General features: G+C 42.5%; 1 protein-coding gene across 2 annotated transcripts in view, besides 4 other annotated features; it reads left to right on the top strand.

The window, feature by feature from the left end:
• Positions 6,206-6,895: a silencer, noted in NCBI's record as "silent region_15958". NCBI's record gives its function as "represses an Ori minimal core promoter by ATAC-STARR-seq in GM12878 lymphoblastoid cells {active_cell/tissue: GM12878}" and the evidence as "EXISTENCE:reporter gene assay evidence [ECO:0000049][PMID:35858748]".
• Positions 6,508-19,610, top strand: part of ZFR (zinc finger RNA binding protein) — a 90,391-nt gene continuing 77,288 nt past the window's right edge. For both annotated transcript variants that reach the window (NR_144318.2, NM_016107.5), the window contains exons 1-2: positions 6,508-6,626; positions 6,920-7,019. Coding sequence is in view for 1 of the 2 variants with exons in the window: in NM_016107.5 (NP_057191.2) it covers positions 6,590-6,626; positions 6,920-7,019 (137 nt within the window). In the remaining variant the exon portion in view is untranslated. The remainder of the gene's footprint in view (positions 6,627-6,919; positions 7,020-19,610) is intronic.
• Positions 6,857-7,414: an enhancer, noted in NCBI's record as "H3K27ac hESC enhancer chr5:32443940-32444497 (GRCh37/hg19 assembly coordinates)". NCBI's record gives its function as "activates a minimal SCP1, AML or CMV promoter by ChIP-STARR-seq in naive H9 embryonic stem cells {active_cell/tissue: H9 hESC(naive)}" and the evidence as "EXISTENCE:reporter gene assay evidence [ECO:0000049][PMID:30033119]".
• Positions 6,857-7,465: a biological region, named in NCBI's record as "H3K27ac hESC enhancer GRCh37_chr5:32443940-32444497".
• Positions 7,126-7,465: a silencer, noted in NCBI's record as "silent region_15957". NCBI's record gives its function as "represses an Ori minimal core promoter by ATAC-STARR-seq in GM12878 lymphoblastoid cells {active_cell/tissue: GM12878}" and the evidence as "EXISTENCE:reporter gene assay evidence [ECO:0000049][PMID:35858748]".

The raw sequence follows: 19,610 nt of genomic DNA, 5'->3' as shown, positions 1-19,610 counted from the left end.
CAATATGTCCTTCAGCATCTCCCATTGATAATCATATCAAGCTCTAAATCAGGTCACAGTGTGGCTGAGACTCTTCTCCAAGCTGCTAAACAGCGACTCCTATGGCTGCCTTGAGTCCTGTAGGTTCTTCAGGTTCCTATGAATATGTTACTGACACAAAGAAACCCTTATAACATTGGTGTTGGGGGTTCAAGCTTGGTAGCAAATAGCATTTTCTAGAATGTCAAGGGAGCTGCAAGGACTAAAATAGGTTGGCATCTGCATTTGTGGCTGGTACCATGTCAGATGGTACTTGGGGGAGGGGGAAGAAAGATATTAAAGACCTATATCATAAAACCATTACCCTCAAAAAATGGACACAAGACTAATTTCATTCATCCCCAAAATATTTATTAAGTGCATACTGTGTTCTTGGAATGGTTCTCTCTTTTTAATATTTTATTTTTTGAGACAGCATCTCACGCTGTCACTCAGGCTGGAGTGTAGTGGCATGATCTCGGCTCACTCCAACCTCCACCTCCCAGACTCAAGGGATCCTCTTACCTCAGCCTCCTGTAGCTGGGACTACAGGTGCATGCCACCATGACCAGCTAGTTTTTGTATTTTCTGTAGAGACAGGGTTTCACTATGTTGCCCAGGCTGGTCTCGAACTCCTGAGCTCAAGTGATCTGCCCGTCTCGGCTTCCCAAAGTGCTGGGATTACAGGCATGAGCCACCATGCTCGGCCGGAATGGCTCTAGGCATTGGAAATTCATTGGCAGATAAAACAGACATGGTTCCTGACCCTGTGGAGTTCATGTTCTTTCCTGGGGGAAGAGAGATATTGAGTAAGAAATGACCAGTCTGATGAGTGTTACAAAATGGGAACTATAGGATGCCCTGGAATGAAATAATTAAAGAGCCAATAATGTAAGTGCTCTAGGAGTTCATAAATGAAAAATAGCCATGTGCACTAAAACTGGAAACACAAAGGTGACTCTAGTGACCCACCAGTAATAGGACGTGTTCTTACTTTAGGCAAGTGTGAATCTTTACGAGATTTTTAGCAGGGTAATGACATGTTCAGATGTGTTTCAGGGAAGCAGTATGTCGCAGAGGTCAGGCATTCTGGAAACAGGTAGGTATAGTTTAAATCCTGCGTTTGCCACTTATCACCCTTATGAACTCACTTTTACTATCTCTAAATGGGATAATCATGATAGTACCTACCTTGTAGGTTTTTGTAAAGAATAAATGAGACAATGCATTATAATGTACACTGTTATTACTACTACTTTTTTTGTTGTTGTTGTTACAGAGTCTCACTCTGTTGCCCAGGCTGGAGTGCAGTGGCGCGATCTTGGCTCACTGCAACCTCTGCCTCCTGGGTTGGAGCAATTCTCCTGCCTCAACCTCCCGAGTAGCTGGGATTACAGGTGTGCGCCACCATGCCAGGCTAATTTTAGTATTTTTAGTAGAGATGAGGTTTCACCATGTTGGCCAGGCTGGTCTTGAACTCCTGACCTCAGGTGATCCACCCTCCTCAGCCTCCCAGAGCGCGGGGATTACAGGCATGAGCCACCACGCCCAGCCCTATTTATTTATTTTTTTAATCTTAGATCCTTGATCATTGTGTAGAGGACAGATTTGAGAGGATTAGATTACTGGGAAGAGAGACCAATTAGTGGGCTGTTGAAGTCGGCTTGGGCAAGAGATGAACTAGAGTAGTGGTTGTAGAGAGGAAAAGAATTTCAGCTATTCAGAGAGTTTGGGGGAAAAAAGGTATACCAGCAATTCCACTCCTAGGGATATACTCAGGAGAATTGAAAACATCTGTCCACACAAAAACTTGCATATCAGTGTTCATAGTGATGTTATTCATAATAGCCCAATAATGGAAGCATCCCAAACATCCATCAACTTATGAATGAATAAATAAAATGTGGTATATCCAAACAATGGACGATGAAATTTGAAAACATTATGCTAAGTGAAAGAAGCCAGACACAAAAGGCCACATTATTGTATGATTCCATTTATATGTCCAGGATAGACAAATCCATAGAGACACAAAGTAATTTTGTGGTTGTTAGGCATTGGAAGGAGGTAGAAATGGGGAGTGACTGCTAATGGGTACAGGATTTATTATGAGATGATGAAAATGTGCTTACAGTGAGCCAGGCACTGATCTAAGAGCTTTACATCTAGGAAGTCTTTAACCCCTACCAACAATCCCCTGATGAAGATACTACTTTTACCTCTCTATTTACAGAGGAGGAAGAAAAATGAAGCAGAGAGATTGTGGCTGAGGTCACAGAGCAGAAAGTGACAGAGCTGGGATTTGAAGCCAGGTGTGTCCAGCTTTAGAGTCCTTGCTCTTATTCACCTCACTATACTCCTCTTGGTATAGAGTAGCTAGTATGATGTCCTTTCTGGCTAATTTATCCGTATTTTATCAAGGTCTTTCAGGATACCACACCTTGACTCAAAGGTGTGACGGAAGACAACTATTATAGATTTATTTTTGGTGAGTTTAGGGGCTGGCTTTGTCAGGCTAGCTCTACCTTGTGGCTAATTGACTGCCAATGACATTTCCTCTTTTACCTTCAGATCCTAATTGAGGTTCATAATTATGACCCTGAGGCACTACAGGTTCTTGAACTACCTTCTGAATCATGAAAGAAAGATTAAACTGTGCACAGCGTGGTTCATTCATTCCATAAGTACTTATTGGGTGCCTACCAACAGGCACCCAATACTGGCAACCTGCCCTCGTGAAGCTTATAGTTTGATGCGAGAGAGAAATATATATTAATCATATAATCACACAATAAGTATAAGATTGCAACTGTGACAAGGGCAACTAAGAAGAGATGTCTGGTGCTCTGAGAGCATAGCAAGGGTTTGACCCATCAAGGTCACGAGGGGTTGAATGAGTTGCGATCCCCAAGCATGAGGGTAAACCAGGTAAAGGGAAGAAGGGAGAACATTCTAGGCAGGGAGAACATGCAAAGCCCCCTGGTGGGAGGGAGCATGGTGAACAGGAGGCCAAGATAGCTGGGATAGAGTGAATAAGGAGGAAGATGCTGAAAAGGCAGGTGGGCCAGGCCACAGAGTCTCGTGGGCCACATGGAAGAATTTGCTTTATCCTGAGAGATGAAAGCACAGAGGATTTGATCAGATTTGCATACCAAACCAGTTCTGGACATGAAGGATGACAATCCCTATTATAATTGGTTGCTTCTGGTCAAGTATTTCATCTTTAATTGTTGACCCAGAAGACTACGTACAGCCATGTTGCCTAGACCGGGTACTCTAGAACATAAACTCTTCCAGGGCAGAGCCACCTACTTTTGACTTGTAGGTGTGATTTGCACAATGCATTCACTTATTAGAAGGTTGATTTTAAAAGACTGACAATCGGCCTGGCACAGTGGCACACGCCTGTAATCCCAGCACTTTGGGAGGCCAAGTGGGTGGATCACTTGAGGTCAGGACTTTGAGAACAGCCTGGCCAACATGGTGAAACCCTTCTCTACTAAACATACAAAAATTAGCTGGGTGTGGTGGCGCATGCCTGTAGTCCCAGCTACTTGGGAGACTGAGGCAGGAGAATTGCTTGATCTTGAGAGGCGGAGTTTGTAGTGAGCTGAGATCGCGCCATTGCACTCCAGCGTGGGTGACAAAGCAAGACTTTGTCTCAAATAAATAAATAAAAATAAAGAACTGACAATCATCTAGCCTAGTCTTTTTACATGAAAAAGCTAGGCGTTAGGCCAGGCATGGTGGCTCACTCTCACCAGTAATCCCAGCACTTTGGGAGGCCGAAATGAGCAGATCGCCTGAGCTCAGGAATTGGAGACCAGCCTGGGCAATGTGGCAAAACTCCATCTCTACAAAAAATACAAAAATTAGCTGGGCATGGTGGCATGTGCCTGTAGTCCCAGCTACTCAGGAGGCTGAGGTGGGAGGATTGCTTGAGCCCAGGAGGTTGGGGCTGCATTGAGCTGAGATCACAACACTGCACTTAGCCTGGGCGACAGAGTGAAACCCTATCTCAAAACAAAAAAAACTAGATGTCTTACATAAATGCTGCCTCATTTAAACCCCACCAGAGTCCCATCAGGAAGATGTTATTGTTATTCTTGCCGTATGGGTTCAGATAGGTTAAATAACATGTTCAGGTTACTCCACTACTAGATGCCCAGGAAAAATATTCAAGACCCTCCAAAACTCCTTCCTTAAAGGAGCCCAAGTCAAGGGCAAGTAGGTGCGATACTGAAAGGTTGTTCCTACAGGCTGCATCTTTGAGAGTGCTGTTGTAAATAATTTTCACTACTGCCACACCTACTTTGACCCCTAAGAACCAGGGGAGAGGCCCCGTCTTCCTCTTTCTAGTTATGTGCTTGCTCATTGGGGTGTGCCAGTAGCACGCCGGCCTCCAAAGGCCTGCCAAGCAAACAAGCATAAAACTGGCCTACACAGACTCTTTTTAGGCAAGTAATCAACACCTGTCTTTTCTCCTCCAGTTTTATTCAAATAGCCTAGTAACTAATAGAGCCGGTTCATCAAAGCAGTTACAGTCAGTGTCTTGAAGCTTGACTGCTCAATGAAGTTCAAGGCAAAATACCTTTAAAATACAGTTCTAATGTCCTATGTGTAGGAGGTATTTCTTCCTAGCAACATCCTTGGGGCACAAATAACTTTTGCCTGGGAAAACATCAGTATTCTCAAAAATAATGACACTTAACTTTTCTCCAAGGTTCTACATTTTCTCTTTCTGAAATGAGTAACAGGACAAATCAGACAGGTTCTGAGAGCCTGTACTTTTGTAGGAGGCGTGGGGAGCAAGGTTGGCACAAAAAAGAATTGAGGCATTGTTTCTGCTCTGGCACAAGAAAGTAGGACAAAGCCCTGAATTTCATGGGTGGGTTCTGATTCACCCTTTGCATTTCTTTTTTTTCCTTTCCTTTTTTTTTTTTTTTTTAAGACGGAGTCTCGCTCTGTCGCTCAGGCTGGAGTCCAGGGGCGCGATCTCGGCTCACTGCAACCTCTGCTTCCAGGGTTCAAGCGATTCTCCTGCCTCAGCCTTCTGAGTGGCTGGGACTACAGGCGCCCGCCACCACGCCCGGCTTTTTTTTTTTTTCTTTTTTTTTGAGACGGGGTTTCACCATGTTGGCCACTGACCTCACCTCGTGATCCACCCGCCTCGGCCGCCCAAAGTGTTGGGATTACAGGCGTGAGCCACCGCGCCCGGCCAGCATTTCCTTTTAATGTTCATATCCAACAATGAGGAGAGATGAGGAGCAGGGAGTCTGGGGGATGGGCATGGAGAAGGTAAGGAAGAGGTGAAATGCAGGCAGTACATATGTACTTGATGGAAGACACGAAACATAAGGCCAGAGAAACTAGACGATCAGAAGAGGGACTGGAAGAGGAAAGAGAATGGTTGAAAACGAACTGAGAAACTAAAGGGAAGAAAGCGAGGAAACAGAGGGAAAGAGGAAATGCTTACATGGGGGCAAGTACTGTTCTGTCCTTACCACTAAAGATCTGGCACGTGATCTGGTCTCCCTCTCACTTGACTCCAGCCAGACTGATCTTCTTGCTCTTGAACATTCATTCCTTCATCTGGACCCTTCCACTTGCTGCTCTTCCTGCAGGCATCTCCCAGGCCTGTCCTTCCTTCCTTCAAGTGGTCTCCCTAACCACACTCTACATGAAATAGCACCTCCCTTACCCTTATTTTCCTTACTCTGCTTTATTTATGCTTGAAGCTCCAGTCACCATCAGACAGAATTTCTGTGTTTTGGCTACCGGCTGTTGGCTGACATATACCCGCTCCTAGAACGTAAACTCCACGGGAACAGGGACTTTGTTTTGTTCTCTGCCGTATCTCCAGCACCTACAACACTGCCTGACACCCTGCTGGGTGACCGATATACGCCGGATGGCTCAGGGAGTGGGTGCAGGTCGAGGAAAGGGTATAGCAAGAGGTATGTCCGGGAGGGATGTTTAGGGTGTGCTTTTAGTCCAACAGAAAAGCACTCTCCATCCTTTTTCTATTTCTCTCCTCTCCTTCTCCCTCCCTCCGCACTTCAGAGGTTGGGGAAAAGCTGCGGGAAAGCAGGAAATAAGGAAAAATCCTAAATTGCCCAGCTCGAATTCCAATGAAAAATTAATGAGCGAGGAAGACAGGGAGGCAGGGAATAAGTGCACATGCAAAAGTTAAGGAAGCCAGTGGAAAGCAAAGAAAAAGGCGAACAGACGTCACTCTCTCTGGTCACGCTCCCCGACTCCCCAGAGGACAGGCGAGGCGCTTCTGGCACACGCCCCCGTCGCCCCGCGGCCGCGCGGCGTCACCACCACTTCGGAGAAGGCCAGGCCCCTCTTCCCCCGCGGGCTTCCCCGCGCCCGCACCGCCGAGGCCCCGGCACGCGCCCGGGGGAGCCGCGAAGACGGCGGGGACTACAGCTCCCAGGATGCCGAGCACAGGCGCGCCTGCGCAGTGCGGTCGGAGGCGGCGGTCTGTTCTCCGCTGAGGAGGAGCGGGGCAGAGGAGGGAGGCAGCGGGTGAGAGTTCAGAGTTCAGCAGCAGCAGCCCGAGCCCATGATTCCCATATGCCCTGTAGTTTCTTTCACCTATGGTGAGTCTAATGTGGCCCGCGAGGCCTCTGCCCGGCCCCCTCCCTGGCCCCGGGCAGCGGGGAGCCGCGGGGGTTGGGGCAGGCTCCGGGGAGGAGGCGGCGGCCGCCACCCGGGCGTGCGAGTGAGTGAGGGAGTGCGAGGCGGGAGGGGGAGGCGGCGCGGCCGCGGCCTGGGCCCCGCCAGGGCTGCTCTCACGGCGCCTCTCTCTTTCTCTCCCTGCCCTCCCTCGGCGTCTCGGCTCCTCTGTGTCTCTTGTCCCGCCATGGGACCCGACTCTTCGTGCCCGCCGCAGTGCCCAGCCGGCTGGGGGAAGATGCCAAAATGGCGACCGGCAACTACTTTGGATTCACCCACAGCGGGGCGGCGGCGGCGGCGGCTGCGGCCCAATATAGGTAACGGCATCCTGCCTTCTCTCTGTTCGCCCCTTGCTCTCCCCTCGGTCCGGATCCTGTCGATGCGACGCCCCCGCGCCCGTCCCCAGCCATCCCAGAGCCCCGGCCCGCTGCAGGCCTGGCCCGGCCCAGCCCGGCGGCCTCTCCCGCCCCGCCCCGCCCCGCCCCGCCTTGCCCGGCCCGGCCCGGCCCGCGGCGGGGAGCGGCCCCCAGTAGGGGGGAGGTAGAGACGGCGGAGGTGTAGGGACGTGGAGGCCTCAGGGCCCTTCAGCGGCCCCTTAACTAAAATGGCCTCCTGCGGCCGCCGAGCGGAGCCGCCACCGCCGCCCGGCAGGCCCCCCAGTCCCCGCCTCCGCGCGTCCAGCCCCCACCTCCCATCTTCTTCCCACTTGGGGGATGGAGAGGGTGGCTGAAGGGACCTCACGGGGAGTGCCGTGTCGCAGGTCCACTGGCTTCTCGTGCGACGCCTCTCTGCGTCGTCGCCTGGTGCTTCAACCCCCGGAGCCCAGATAACGTGTCGTTGTCTCGGGTACCTTTTCCTCCGCCGTGGGGCTTCTTCCCCAGACGCTCCATCGCTAGCGAGTCCTGCTGACAAACTGCGGGTGTCACTGTGTTCATCGGGTTCCTTTAGTTTTTCCTGCAAGGAGAGAGATTCACATACCAACCACCTGTAAATTGTGTAGTTCTTAGACTGGAAAAGATGTGCGAAGTTTCTAGTGCTGATAAATGAGTGCCCAGCCTTGTTTGAGCTATGGAGTTTAGGCCCCAGGTGGGCCTGTCATTCTCCTTGCGGGGGTCTTTCCCCTGCGGGGAATGGTGGGGAGGGAAGAAGATGCAAGTGAGATTGTACTGAGTCATTGTAATGCACCGGATGAAATCCCTGCTTTAAGGGAAGCTCTCATTTCTGAAGTCTGTAGTTCATTATACATCTTACCAAAGACAAACACAACAGTGGATTGTTAAATTGTTACTTTTGAGTCAATCTGAGACTTTTGATTCAGGCCATAAGCGCACACGGCTCCTGCGTGATATGCTTTTTATGTATGTTAGATGTTGGTTAAACCCAGGCAGTTTTTTTCATTTGATTTACTTCAGGAGGCACGGTGTTTAATGGAAAGGGCATCATTGGGAGCCAGAAGACCCGAGTTCAGTCTCTTTTGCTCTTGATTTTTTTTTTTTGAATAAATAATTTTTCTTAGAGAGAAAGGACCTATGTTGCCCAGGCTGATCTCGAACTCCTGGGCAGAGTCCTGCCTCGGCCTCCCAGAGTGCTAGGATTACCGGCATGAGCCACCACACCTGGCCTCTTTTGCTCTTGATTTTATGACGTTGGGAACATCATATAGTTGGGTTTTCATGTTCATCATCTGTAAAATGAGATGCTGGGCAAACTATCTTTTTGGGCTGAAACTTGTGGTTTTGAGAAACCAAGTTACTGTTTTCCATGGCATCCTAAGATGCCATTTGTTGTAAAAGGTACCATTATTGTATGTAGCACTAAAAAAAAATGCTGCCAGTTAAGACACTGCTTAAGACTCCATTAAGAGATGTCAAAATGTATAAATGTGCATCATATTGGTGAAACTAGATTTTACTAATTGTTGAATGCCATGTGGCATTTTACAAGTGTTTTTTCATGAGGCCTGCATTCCAGAAAAAGCACTGAGATGACAAATTATTACAGCAAAATCTTGGGGGCATTTCAAGTATTAGCAAATCGTTTGCTTATAATTTTTGATAATTAGACAAAAAAAGTTTCAGCTACTTTGATAAAACTTTTTAGGACTTTTAAAAAATTCAACAGCTTTTTGGGGTACAAGTGGTTTTTGGTTACGTGGACTAATTATATAGTGAATTCTGAGATTTTAGTAGGGCTAATAATTTTCAAGGAGAGGAAAAAACCATCTTTTTCTCAGAAGAGATAGCTAATCAGCATCTGTGCCATAAATCTGCTGGCAATTACTAGTATTCCGTCTAGAAAAGATTGTGTTTAACCATTAAAATTTTACTTGTTTTACTCAGGTTTTTTCTGTTTTCCTCATATGGGCTGAGTGATAAGATTTGTTGAATTACTAACTTTATTTACTGTAAAGTGGTGGGTTCTTTGTGGCACTTCTGAAATGTTTTTCCTAAATGCAGACCTACAGATAGAAATGAAGAAAGGAAATGCTGATTTAAAGATAATTAATAATTTTTTGATAAAATATTTATGTGATTGTTTTATCCCAGTATAGGGAACTGTGACAGAATTTCTGTTTCTAATAATTTTTTTTTTGGCCTTGAAACTGAAAAGTTTAAACTGTAACAACAATCCAGGTTACTAAATTGATTAAGTGTACATCTGATGAGAAAAGACTAGTCTTTTGACATTACTTATATTGCTAAAACTTAGGCACTCTTGTACATAAGGCCTTGTATATAAACATAGTACATGAAAAGTGTTTGCATTTAATGGCAAGAAATCAGGCCCAATAATACTGGGAATTTTGGCAAGGAAGATGAATGAATAACATTAATAACAAAAGCACATGCAAAAAGTGTGGTGGTGATGCTAATTTTTCTTCCTGGCTGGAAATAATTATAATGGAACTTTTAGAGATGGAAGACCAAGGTCTACTTTACTAATATTTTTTCAAATTTGAAGATCTCAAACTCAGGAAAATCTTAAGTACAGTTCACGCCTGAAAACATATGCAGTTTTTTTTTTTTTCCAATCAAATTTGGATAGAAAATAGAGTATTCATGGAGGGCCAACTTTTTGTATTCGCAGGTTCCACAGGGCCTACTGTGGGACTTTATGTATGGATTTTTGTATACGTAGCGGTCCTGGAACCAATCCCCTGCTTATATGGAGGGATGACTGTATTTATGTGTGAATGATGTGATTGAATTGCTTCACCTATCATTGAATACAGATAAAGTAAACATCCTACACCTAAATGTAATTCCAGAGGCCAGGCGTGGTGGCTCACGCCTGTAATCCCAGCACATTGGGAGGCTAAGGCGGGTGTATCACCTGAGGTCAGGGGTATGAGATCAGCCTGACCAACATGGCGAAACCCGGTCTCTACTACTAAAAATACAAAAGTTAGCTGGGCATGGTGGCGGGCACCTGTAATCCCAGCTACTCTGGAGGCTGAGGCAGGAGAATCGCTTGAACCGGGGAGGTGGAGGTTGCAGTGAGCCAAGATCGCGCGATTACACTCTGGCTGGGCAACAGAGACAGACTCCGTCTCAAAATAAAATACAATAAAAGTAATTCCAGCTCTTAGTTTTCTTGATTACAGTTCTGTAAGATATTTGATTAAATTTATTTTAGATTTAGACTTTTTAGCTTGTTAATATTTGAGATTCATAATGGCACACTAAAGATCAGATTCTTTAAGATGTAAAGACCTGTAATAATGAATTTGTCAAGTATGGCTACTAGTAACTTGTAGATTAGTTACCACATTTTTCATTTGTGTTCATGCATATTAGACAATTTTGTGGTAAGCGTTTCTCAGTCTTGTGTTCTAAGTCCCATAAACTATGGAATTTTTTTTTTCCTGTTTTGTATTTTTTGTTTTTTTTTTTGTTTTTGAGACAGAGTCTCCTTCTGTCACCCAGGCTGGAGTGCAATGGCACGATCTTGGCTCACTGCAACCTCTGCCTCTCGGGTTCAAGTGATTCTCCTGCCTCAGCCTCCTGAGTAGCTGGGATTACAGGCGTGTGCCACCACGCCTGGCTAGTTTTTGTATTTTTAGTACAGACGAGTTTCACCATGTTGGCCAGGCTGGTCTCAAACTCCCGAACTCCGGTCCTCCGCCCGCCTCAGCCTCCAAAAGTGCTGGGATTACAGGCATGAGCCACCGCGCCCAACCTTGTTTTGCATTTTTTTAAGTCAAGTAAATAATGTCAGTTAAGTATTCGTTTGTATGTGTTTACATGTGTACGTTTCTGATAGCATGTTAATTTGAGGGTGCACAGGATAAAGCAGATTTCAGACATGGTGAAAATGTAAGGATGGCTTCATGGCCAAAAGGGAACTTGGTTAGGTAGATAACCTGTTAAGAGTAGAGTACCTTTTTTGTTTGAGGAAATGCACTTACATAAATCTAGTTTTATTTTTAAATAAATCTTGCGGAGAGAACTATTATGACAGTTCTAAGGACTTTAGGATAGCAAAGAATATGAGGAAAGGTAATTCTCAGTAGAAAAAACTTCCTAATAGTTTCATAGGATCAAAAATCATTTTTTTTAACTTCTTCATTGTCAAAGATAGAGAAGTTCTGATAGGAATTCTTCAGTTTTTGAGGAGAATTCGTGGCATATACATTTATAAAAGCATATGTAATAAACGTTATAAAATAATCCCATTATATCCCACAATTAATGAGACATAACCATTTCTTTGAGGCTTTTTTTTTTTTTTTTTTTTTTTTAAAGACATGGTCTCGCTCTCTCACCCAGGCTGCAGTGTAGTGGTGATCATAGCTCACTGCAGCCTTGAACCCCTGAGCTCAAGTGATCCTCCTGCAATGGGCTTCCAAGGTGCTGGGATTACAGGTGTGAGCCACTACGCCCAGCCTCATTGAGAGTTGTAAACAGCCACTTTTTCTTTATTTATACTTTAGAAAAACCTTGGACATAGCAGTAAGTGGATTTTGACTATTGCTGTACCTTAAGCATCTGCCAGTCAAAAGAAGGCATCTCATCTAATGATTTTGAGATGTCTTAGGGACTTCCGTTCCTAAAGGATGAGATAACTCGGGTAGGGTAACAGTAGCTTGGATAGGCTGATAAGCTAATGAGTTTTCCTTTTTTCCTTTCTCTTTTTTACTTTTTATTTGAAAGTAGTGTTAAGAATATTGTGTCTTGAATTCAGGAAAGAATAAAAGTAACACTAGTAAGGTAGAAAAGGATTAAACACTGAGAAAGTAAAAAAACCAGGTGAACAGGTTTTTGAAACCAACCTTGGTGATGGAAATTTACTGGCTTTACAAGAAAAAGAAATATTGCAACGACTAATAACATCAATCCTTCCATTGTTGAATCAGAGACCTTAGGATGTACACTGCATGGATAAGCTTGAAATAAGATAATTTTCATTCCAAAAGGATTGTTGCTATTACACTGATGATAAAATGGCTATTAGTCTTAATAGAGTAGGGTGAGCCAGAATATCCCTGTATAGAATAGGTATCTGCTTGAGTATGCTTTTGTAAACTGCCTTATAGTACACTATGAACAAAAGGACATAACTTTGGAACTATATAGAGTTTGAATCCCAGCTCCATCCCTTCAGGCACCCTGGCCAAGTATCAGCTTCTCTAAGACTTGGTTTCCTCACCTGACTTGCCTTGAGGTGAAGTTTAAATATAAAATTTTCTAGCCTAGTGCCTGATTATCAATAGGCATTCCTATCAATGCTGTTTCCTGTAGAGATTTAAGTAATAATATTATAAGGGTTTTAGAAGGATTCCTTGGTTAATATCTATCATATATTTATATAGAGAGTTTCATAATCTCACAGTAAAATGTTTTAAAACATTTGGAGTCCTCATTACTAATAGAGAAAGAAGGAAAGTTTCTATTTACAGGTAACATGATTGTTATGCTTGTCAGGCAAGAATATGAGAAGTAATAAGAGTACAGCAAGTTTTCTGGATCTATGATCAGGCAAAGGCCGGGAGCGGTGGCTCATGCCTGTAATCCCTGCACTTTGGGAGGCCGAGGTGGGCAGATCACTTGAGGTTGGGAATTCGAGACCAGCCTGACCAACATGGAGAAACCCCGTCTCTACTAAAACTACAAAATTAGCCAGGCGTGGTGGTGCATGCCTGTAATCCCAGCTACTCGGGAGGCTGAGGCAGGAGAATAGCTTGAATCCAGGAGGTGGAGGTTGCGGTGAGCCAAGATCGCGCCATTGCACTCCAGCCTGGGCGACAAGAGTGAAACTCCGTCTCAAAAAAAAAAAAAAAAAAAAAAAAAAATTTTCAGATAAAATCAGTAGCATTCTTGTTTCATCAATATTGAATTAGATTATTAAATTTCAAATAAGTCCTGTTTATGTATAGCCACCAAATCTATTAAGTAAGCAGGAATAAAACAAATGAAGTATTCAAAACACTTTGAAGAGAAAATACAATAGGATAAAAAAGTCATAAAAGATGACAAAGATGGACTGTGTTCATGAGTGAAAAACCAATGCCATCAAATTATTATCTCCTATATATATTTAGCATTACTCCAATAAAAATCTCATAGGATTTTTGGTATAACTTGATAAAGGGATTTTAATGTATATAGTGAGGAGAGTGTTCAGCTAAAAATATCATGAAAGTCTTGCAGAAATGATAAGGAAGGACTTGTAATATCAGATACCAAAATATTATTAATAGAAAAATGTGGTATTGGTACAGGGATAGACAGATTATTGAGTTAAAATAGAGATCCCAGAGATAGACATGCTTATATAAGCAGTTGGATTAGAGTATATATCTAATATATGTCTGTTTAAATAGATGTATTTGTTAAAAAAAAAATCAGCTACATTTTTACTCAGAGACATAGATCATCAGGTTAATCAGAAGACCATTCAGGCTTATAAATGTTGTAATTGATGAAGTATGTTAGTATTATTTGGATGGATCTTTAGTCTACTTATTAAAGGTTGCTTGACTATTAATTGTCCATGACACCACTCTGTCAGAATACAGGATTAGAGTGATTGTTCTGAGTATATCATTTCTTAGTATTTCATGAAAGCCATGTACAGTACAGCTTTTATTCATACAGAGATAAAATGAATGAAATAAACTTTGGGTTTTTTTTTGTTTTATTTGAATATTAGTCTTGTATACACTTTATATTAAAGTGCATTTGTAGGGAATAATTCACTTATTTAATATTTTATGAGCATCTACAATATGCATAGTCCCTGCTTTCAGGGAGTTTACACTTCTGGGGCATGAGGGTGGAGACAGATGAGTCTACAAATAACTATGCCATTATAATTAAGTTTTAATGAAATACTAAAATGGGAAATTGGAGGATTTTGACTATGGAGTTTGAGGTAGACTTCGTGTTCTTTCATTCTGAAAATCAAGGGAAGGTCATTTTAGACAAAGGAAAAGTATTGAGCCAAGACAAATATCTGGATTGCATGATATAATAGAGACTGGGTTGGCTCTGAAGTCAGACTACCTAAGCTGAATCTGGCTCCTCCTATTACCTGCCATGTGACCTTGGGCAAACAGTCTGTTGTTAGTTTTTTTATCTATAAATTGAAGATAATATTTTCTTTGCCTCATAGGAAAACTGCACATGTAAGAGAAAATGAAATGTCATAAACCGAGTGTACCTGTGTAACTTGCACTTAAATTAAAAACAAAAACAGAACATTATCAGTATCCCAGGAGGTTTTTACATTCTCCATTGTGTTGTTTCGAGGATTCACTATTATTTGTAAGGTGGACCTGGCAGTGACTCACACCTGTAACCCTAGCACTTTGGTAGGCCTAGGCTGGAGGATTTTAATCCCAGGATTTTGAGACTAGCGTGAACAGCAAAGTGAGACTCTGTATTATTAATAAAATGAAGAAAAGAAAACATTATTTGTGAAGTGTTCAGAACAGTATCTGGCATATATTATATCTCTATCAATGTTAGCCATTATTCAGTAGGTGGCTGGTGAATATGGATGAAACTAGAGAAAGTACAGTGCCTGGCATATATCAAGCATTCAGTAGACATGTTTTAAATTATTTATAGAAAAATAAAGAATACAACTATGGGGCCAGGCACGGTGGCTCACGCCTGTATTACCAGCACTTTGGGAGGCTGAGGCGGGCAGATCACAAGGTCAGGAGATCGAGACCATCCTGGCTAACACGGTGAAACCACGTGTCTACTAAAAATAAAAAAAAAAATCAGCCGGGCGTGGTGGTGGGCGCCTGTAGTCCCAGCTACTCGGGAGGCCGAGGCAGGAGAATGGTGTGAACCCAGGAGGCGGAGCTTGCAGTGAGCCGAGATCGCGCCACTGCACTCCAGCCTGGGCGACAGAGCGAGACTCCATCTCAAAAAAAAAAAAAAAAAAAAAAAAAAGAATACAACTGTGGTTACCAACTTTAAGGTAGGACCAGGGAAAGAAAGAAATACTGTGTGAACAGAGAGCCAGGAGAATTTAGGGTCATGAAAACCAAAAGATGATAGCAAGGTCGTCAGCTTTAGAGTTGCTGGATTAGGGATTTAGTACAGTTATCAAGTTACTGGTGTAATTTTAATGAGTAGCCTTTATAAGGAAACTAGAATCTGATCACTTGGAGCTACAGAAAAAAATAGCATAAAATTTTGCTTAAAATAAGTTTGTAGTCTAGTGTTCACATAGATACTTAAGAGCTCCAGAGGTCACATGGGCTTAAAGTATTGGGAAGCACTGTGGTTGAAATCAATCAAATGAAAATAAATTTTTTGAATTCATATTTCTGGGAAAAGCTATAGTATAAAATACACTACTAGTATGGTAGTCAGCATTAAATGGGCAAGGCATGTCTTTGAAAATAGGCTTGAAGAAATATGACCCTTTTTGATGGGAAAAACAATAAAACTGTTTAAACAATAACCATGTAGATGAGAGCAAAGAGTGCTGTGATTTATGAAAGTGGCTTTATAGCTTCTCTTACTTCCCCAATCCTGCCCATTCCCAAACCGTTTTATACTATAAGCATAATGGTCTCTATGAAATGTAAATTTAATCATAACACTCTTCTGTTTAAGTTACTATCAGAATATCTGGTTATCCTAGTTTTATATTTAGAAGTCTGTAATGTTTCACCCACATTTACGAAATTCACACACTTCCGAAAATATTCGTAGTAAGCTTGTAAAAGCTTGACAGTAAAAACTGAATTGACAGAAGGTTAGCTTTTTTCCCATCTCACTCAGTGTGAATATTCATACCTTTCCTTGAAGAAGTGTTAATACATTTGAGAAATGATGAAGGATTTATTTTTCGTGAGTATAAAAAGTTACAGAGGTCGGGTGTTGTGGTTCATGCCTGTAATCCCAGCATTTTGGGAGGCTGATGTGGGTGGATTCCTTGAGCCCAGGAATTGAGGTCACCAGCCTGACCTGAAGCAATCCACTTGCCTCTACAAAAATTAACCCCCCATCATGGTATACACCTGTGGTCCCTGCTCCTCGAGAGGCTGAGGTGGGAGGATCACCGGAGCCTGGGGAGGTCAAGGCTGCAGTGAGCCTTGATTGAGCCACTGCACTCCAGCCTGGGTGACAGAGTGAAACCCTGTCTTTAAAAAAGAAAGAAAGAAAAAGTTACAGAGTACTTCATTTTAATTAATTTATGGTATCCTTCAGGGTTTATTGTACCCAATCAATAGTGAGTTTCTTTTTTGAGTAGTTCTAGTTACAAGGATTGACATTCCATGACTTTTATTTCTTAGAGGCCTTCCAAAGAGCAAAGAAAACATTTCCCTTATTTTTCAAAATGGAATAAAATTCATCCTATCTAGCAAGATTTACATCATGGGATCTTAAACATTTTGCTGTTTTATCATTCTGTGAATTATTTCCTCTATCACGTATTCCCAACTATGTTAAAGACTAATATAATTGGAAAATGGAAGAATGTTGGAATCACCTACAAGGGTGGTACAGTAGTGAAATAACTAGATGATATTGCATTGCCCAAGTATCATATCTTCTTTCAAAAAGCTAGAAAAGAAAGTAGAGACACTAACTTCATAGTTGGCTTTTAGTTTTCCTTCAACACAGTTGAGAATGCAAAATTGTTCATTCTCTGCCCATACCAGCAAAGGAGAAGAAAGTTGACACAGGAAAATGTTTCCCAATTATCAGATAGATCATAAGATGAATGCAAAAAGCACCGCTCTAGACCAATGATAATGTTGAAATTGTATAAGCAGAAAATCTCAGGCTACAAGTCTTCAGCTGATAATGTCCTACATGAATTTTTCAAACTGAAGAATCAATACATAATACATTTCTAAGGATTAAAAAGGAAATATGCCATTCTCATTCAGTTAGTCATTCACTAGAAGGGACTTCGTTTTATAATATTCTGTGAGGAGAACCAGAATATCCTATTTTGCTAAGCAGATACTTGGCAGAATTCTTTCACCTTTTTGTTGTTGTTTTGAGGCAAGGGTTTCGAACTCTAGCCCACGCTGGAGTGCAGTGGCACAATCTTGGCTCACTGCAAACCTCTGCCTCCCAGGCACAGGTGATCCTCCCTCCTCAGCCTCCTAAGTGGGACTACAGGCATGTGCCACCGTGCCCAGCTTATTTTTGTAGAGATGGGGTTTTTGCCATGTTGCCCAGGTTGGTCTCAAGCTCCTGGATTCAAGCGATCCGCCTGCCTTGGCCTCCCAAAGTGCAGGGATTACAGGCCTGAGCCACCGTGCCTGGTGAATTCTTTCATCTTTTGTGAAGTTTGTGCACTAAAATATACTTGATATGGTTCATTAGTGGACAAATGCTGAAAACAGATGCTTTATATAAAAGTGATTGGAAAAAAGTAGTTGGTGTAGAAATGAGTTATTAGATTAAACATTCCAAATCTAAAATTGAAAATGTTTTGCAGGTAGGGAGTAAAGAAGATGGCCATCTCTTTAACAAAATAGGAGCCATCAGACATTTCAGAAAAAATTTTTATGGATTGTATTTTGACCCTGCAAGTGCAGGAAGAAGAACCAGAAGTAATGATGAACCAGATAGAACTTGTTAGAGATATATTTCAAATCTGGAGTCAGCATTTGTGAGGTGGGCATGTTCCAAGTTTGTGCATCAAAATTGAGCAGTTAGCTGTGTTTAGAGAACATGGTCCATATACCTTTGAAGTCAGGGCAATATGGAATAAAAATTCGGGTTTACTATAATTTTTTAATTACTGTAATTCTTATTTATAGAAGTTTCTAATCATTCTTTTTCATTATCCCTTATTTTAATGGAAATTATTTGTTAAATGACTAAAATTAAAATAATTTAAAAGATCCAGTGGACGCAGATGGGAAATGGTGATAGCTGTCTTTCCTGGTGAGTTAAAGATTACAAGAAAATTAACAATTTTCATACGACATTTAACCACCTCGCTCCCCTGTGGTCTACACCATTCTAGTGAGTTGGTAGGAATTGTAGGATAAGCTGTCTTATTCTAGTGTTTAAGAAGAAATCAAGCGGCAGGGCACAGTGGTTCATGTCTATAATCCCTGCACTTTGGGAGGCTGAAGCGGGAGGATCACTTGAAGCTGAGTTTGAGACCAGCCTGGGTAGCATAGCAAGACCTCATCTCTGTTTAAAAAAAAAAAAAACAATTAGCCAGGCATGGTGGAGTACACCTGTGGTCCCAGCTACTTAGAAGACTGAGGTAGGAGGATCACGTGAGCTGGGGATGTTGAGGGTGCAGTGAGCTGTGATTGCACCACTGCACTCCTTCCTGGGTGACAGAGTGAAAAAAATAAAAAGAAGAAATGGAACCTAAATTTAAATTTCTTCTAAAATCTATGGTAATAAAATTATTATTATAATAACATTGCAAAGATAATGGGAGCATGACATTACAACATCAAGAATAAGGAATAGCCAGGTGCTGTGGCTCACACCTGTAATCCCAACACTTTGGGAGGCTGAGGGGAGAGGATTACTTGACCTCAGGAGTTTGAGACCAGCTATATATAAAGAACTCTTAAAACTCAACAAAAGTCAAATAATCCAATTTAAAAATTGGCAGAAGACTTAAATAGAAACTTTACCAAAAATGACATACAAATGGCCAAAAAGCGTATGAAAAGACGCTCAACATCACTGACTACCATAGAAATGCAAATCAAAACCACAATGGGCCATCACCTCACATTTAGTGAGCTATTACCTACATTATAGTAAACCCAATTTTTTATTCCGTATTGCCCTGAAAGGTATATGGACTGTGTTCTCTAAATACAACTAACTGTTCAACTTTGATGCACAAACTTGCAGTGGCGCAATCAAAGTTCACTGTACCCTCAACATCCCCAGCTCAACATAGCGAGACCAGCATCTCTGCGAACAATTACCCGGGTTTGGTGGCAGGTTTCTGTGGTCCCAGCTACTCAGGAGGCTGAGGTGGGTGGATCGCTTGAACCTGGGAGGTTGAGGCTGCAGTGAGCCACGCTTATACCACTGCACTCCAGCCTGGGTGACAAAGTGAGACCCTGTGTCCAAAAAAAAAAAAAAATAGCTGGGCATGCTGGCACACATGCGTAGTCTCAGCTGCTACTCGGGAGGCTGAGGTGGGAAGATCATCTGAGTCTAGTCTGCAGTGAGCCATGATCTTGCCACTGCACTTACTGGGAAACAGTAAACCCTGTTGGGTTAAAAAACAAAAACAAAACAAAAAGAATAAAGTTGCTTTGTCTTTGGGGTGATTCTGTGAGGAAGTTTGTCTTTTTTTTTTTTTTTTCAATGTTATATCTAATTTAAAGACATTTAAATGTCAGTAGTTTCGTAGATACATAAAATGCCACAATTTGTCCTAGAAAAGTCCAACACTGTTGAGCATTAAACTTGGACTAAAGGGAAGGTCAGATTGTG

This window comes from Homo sapiens, chromosome 5 (genome assembly GCF_000001405.40).
Source record: "Homo sapiens chromosome 5, GRCh38.p14 Primary Assembly".
Classification (NCBI taxonomy): domain Eukaryota; kingdom Metazoa; phylum Chordata; class Mammalia; order Primates; family Hominidae; genus Homo; species Homo sapiens.
This window is presented reverse-complemented; position numbering and strand designations above follow the sequence as displayed.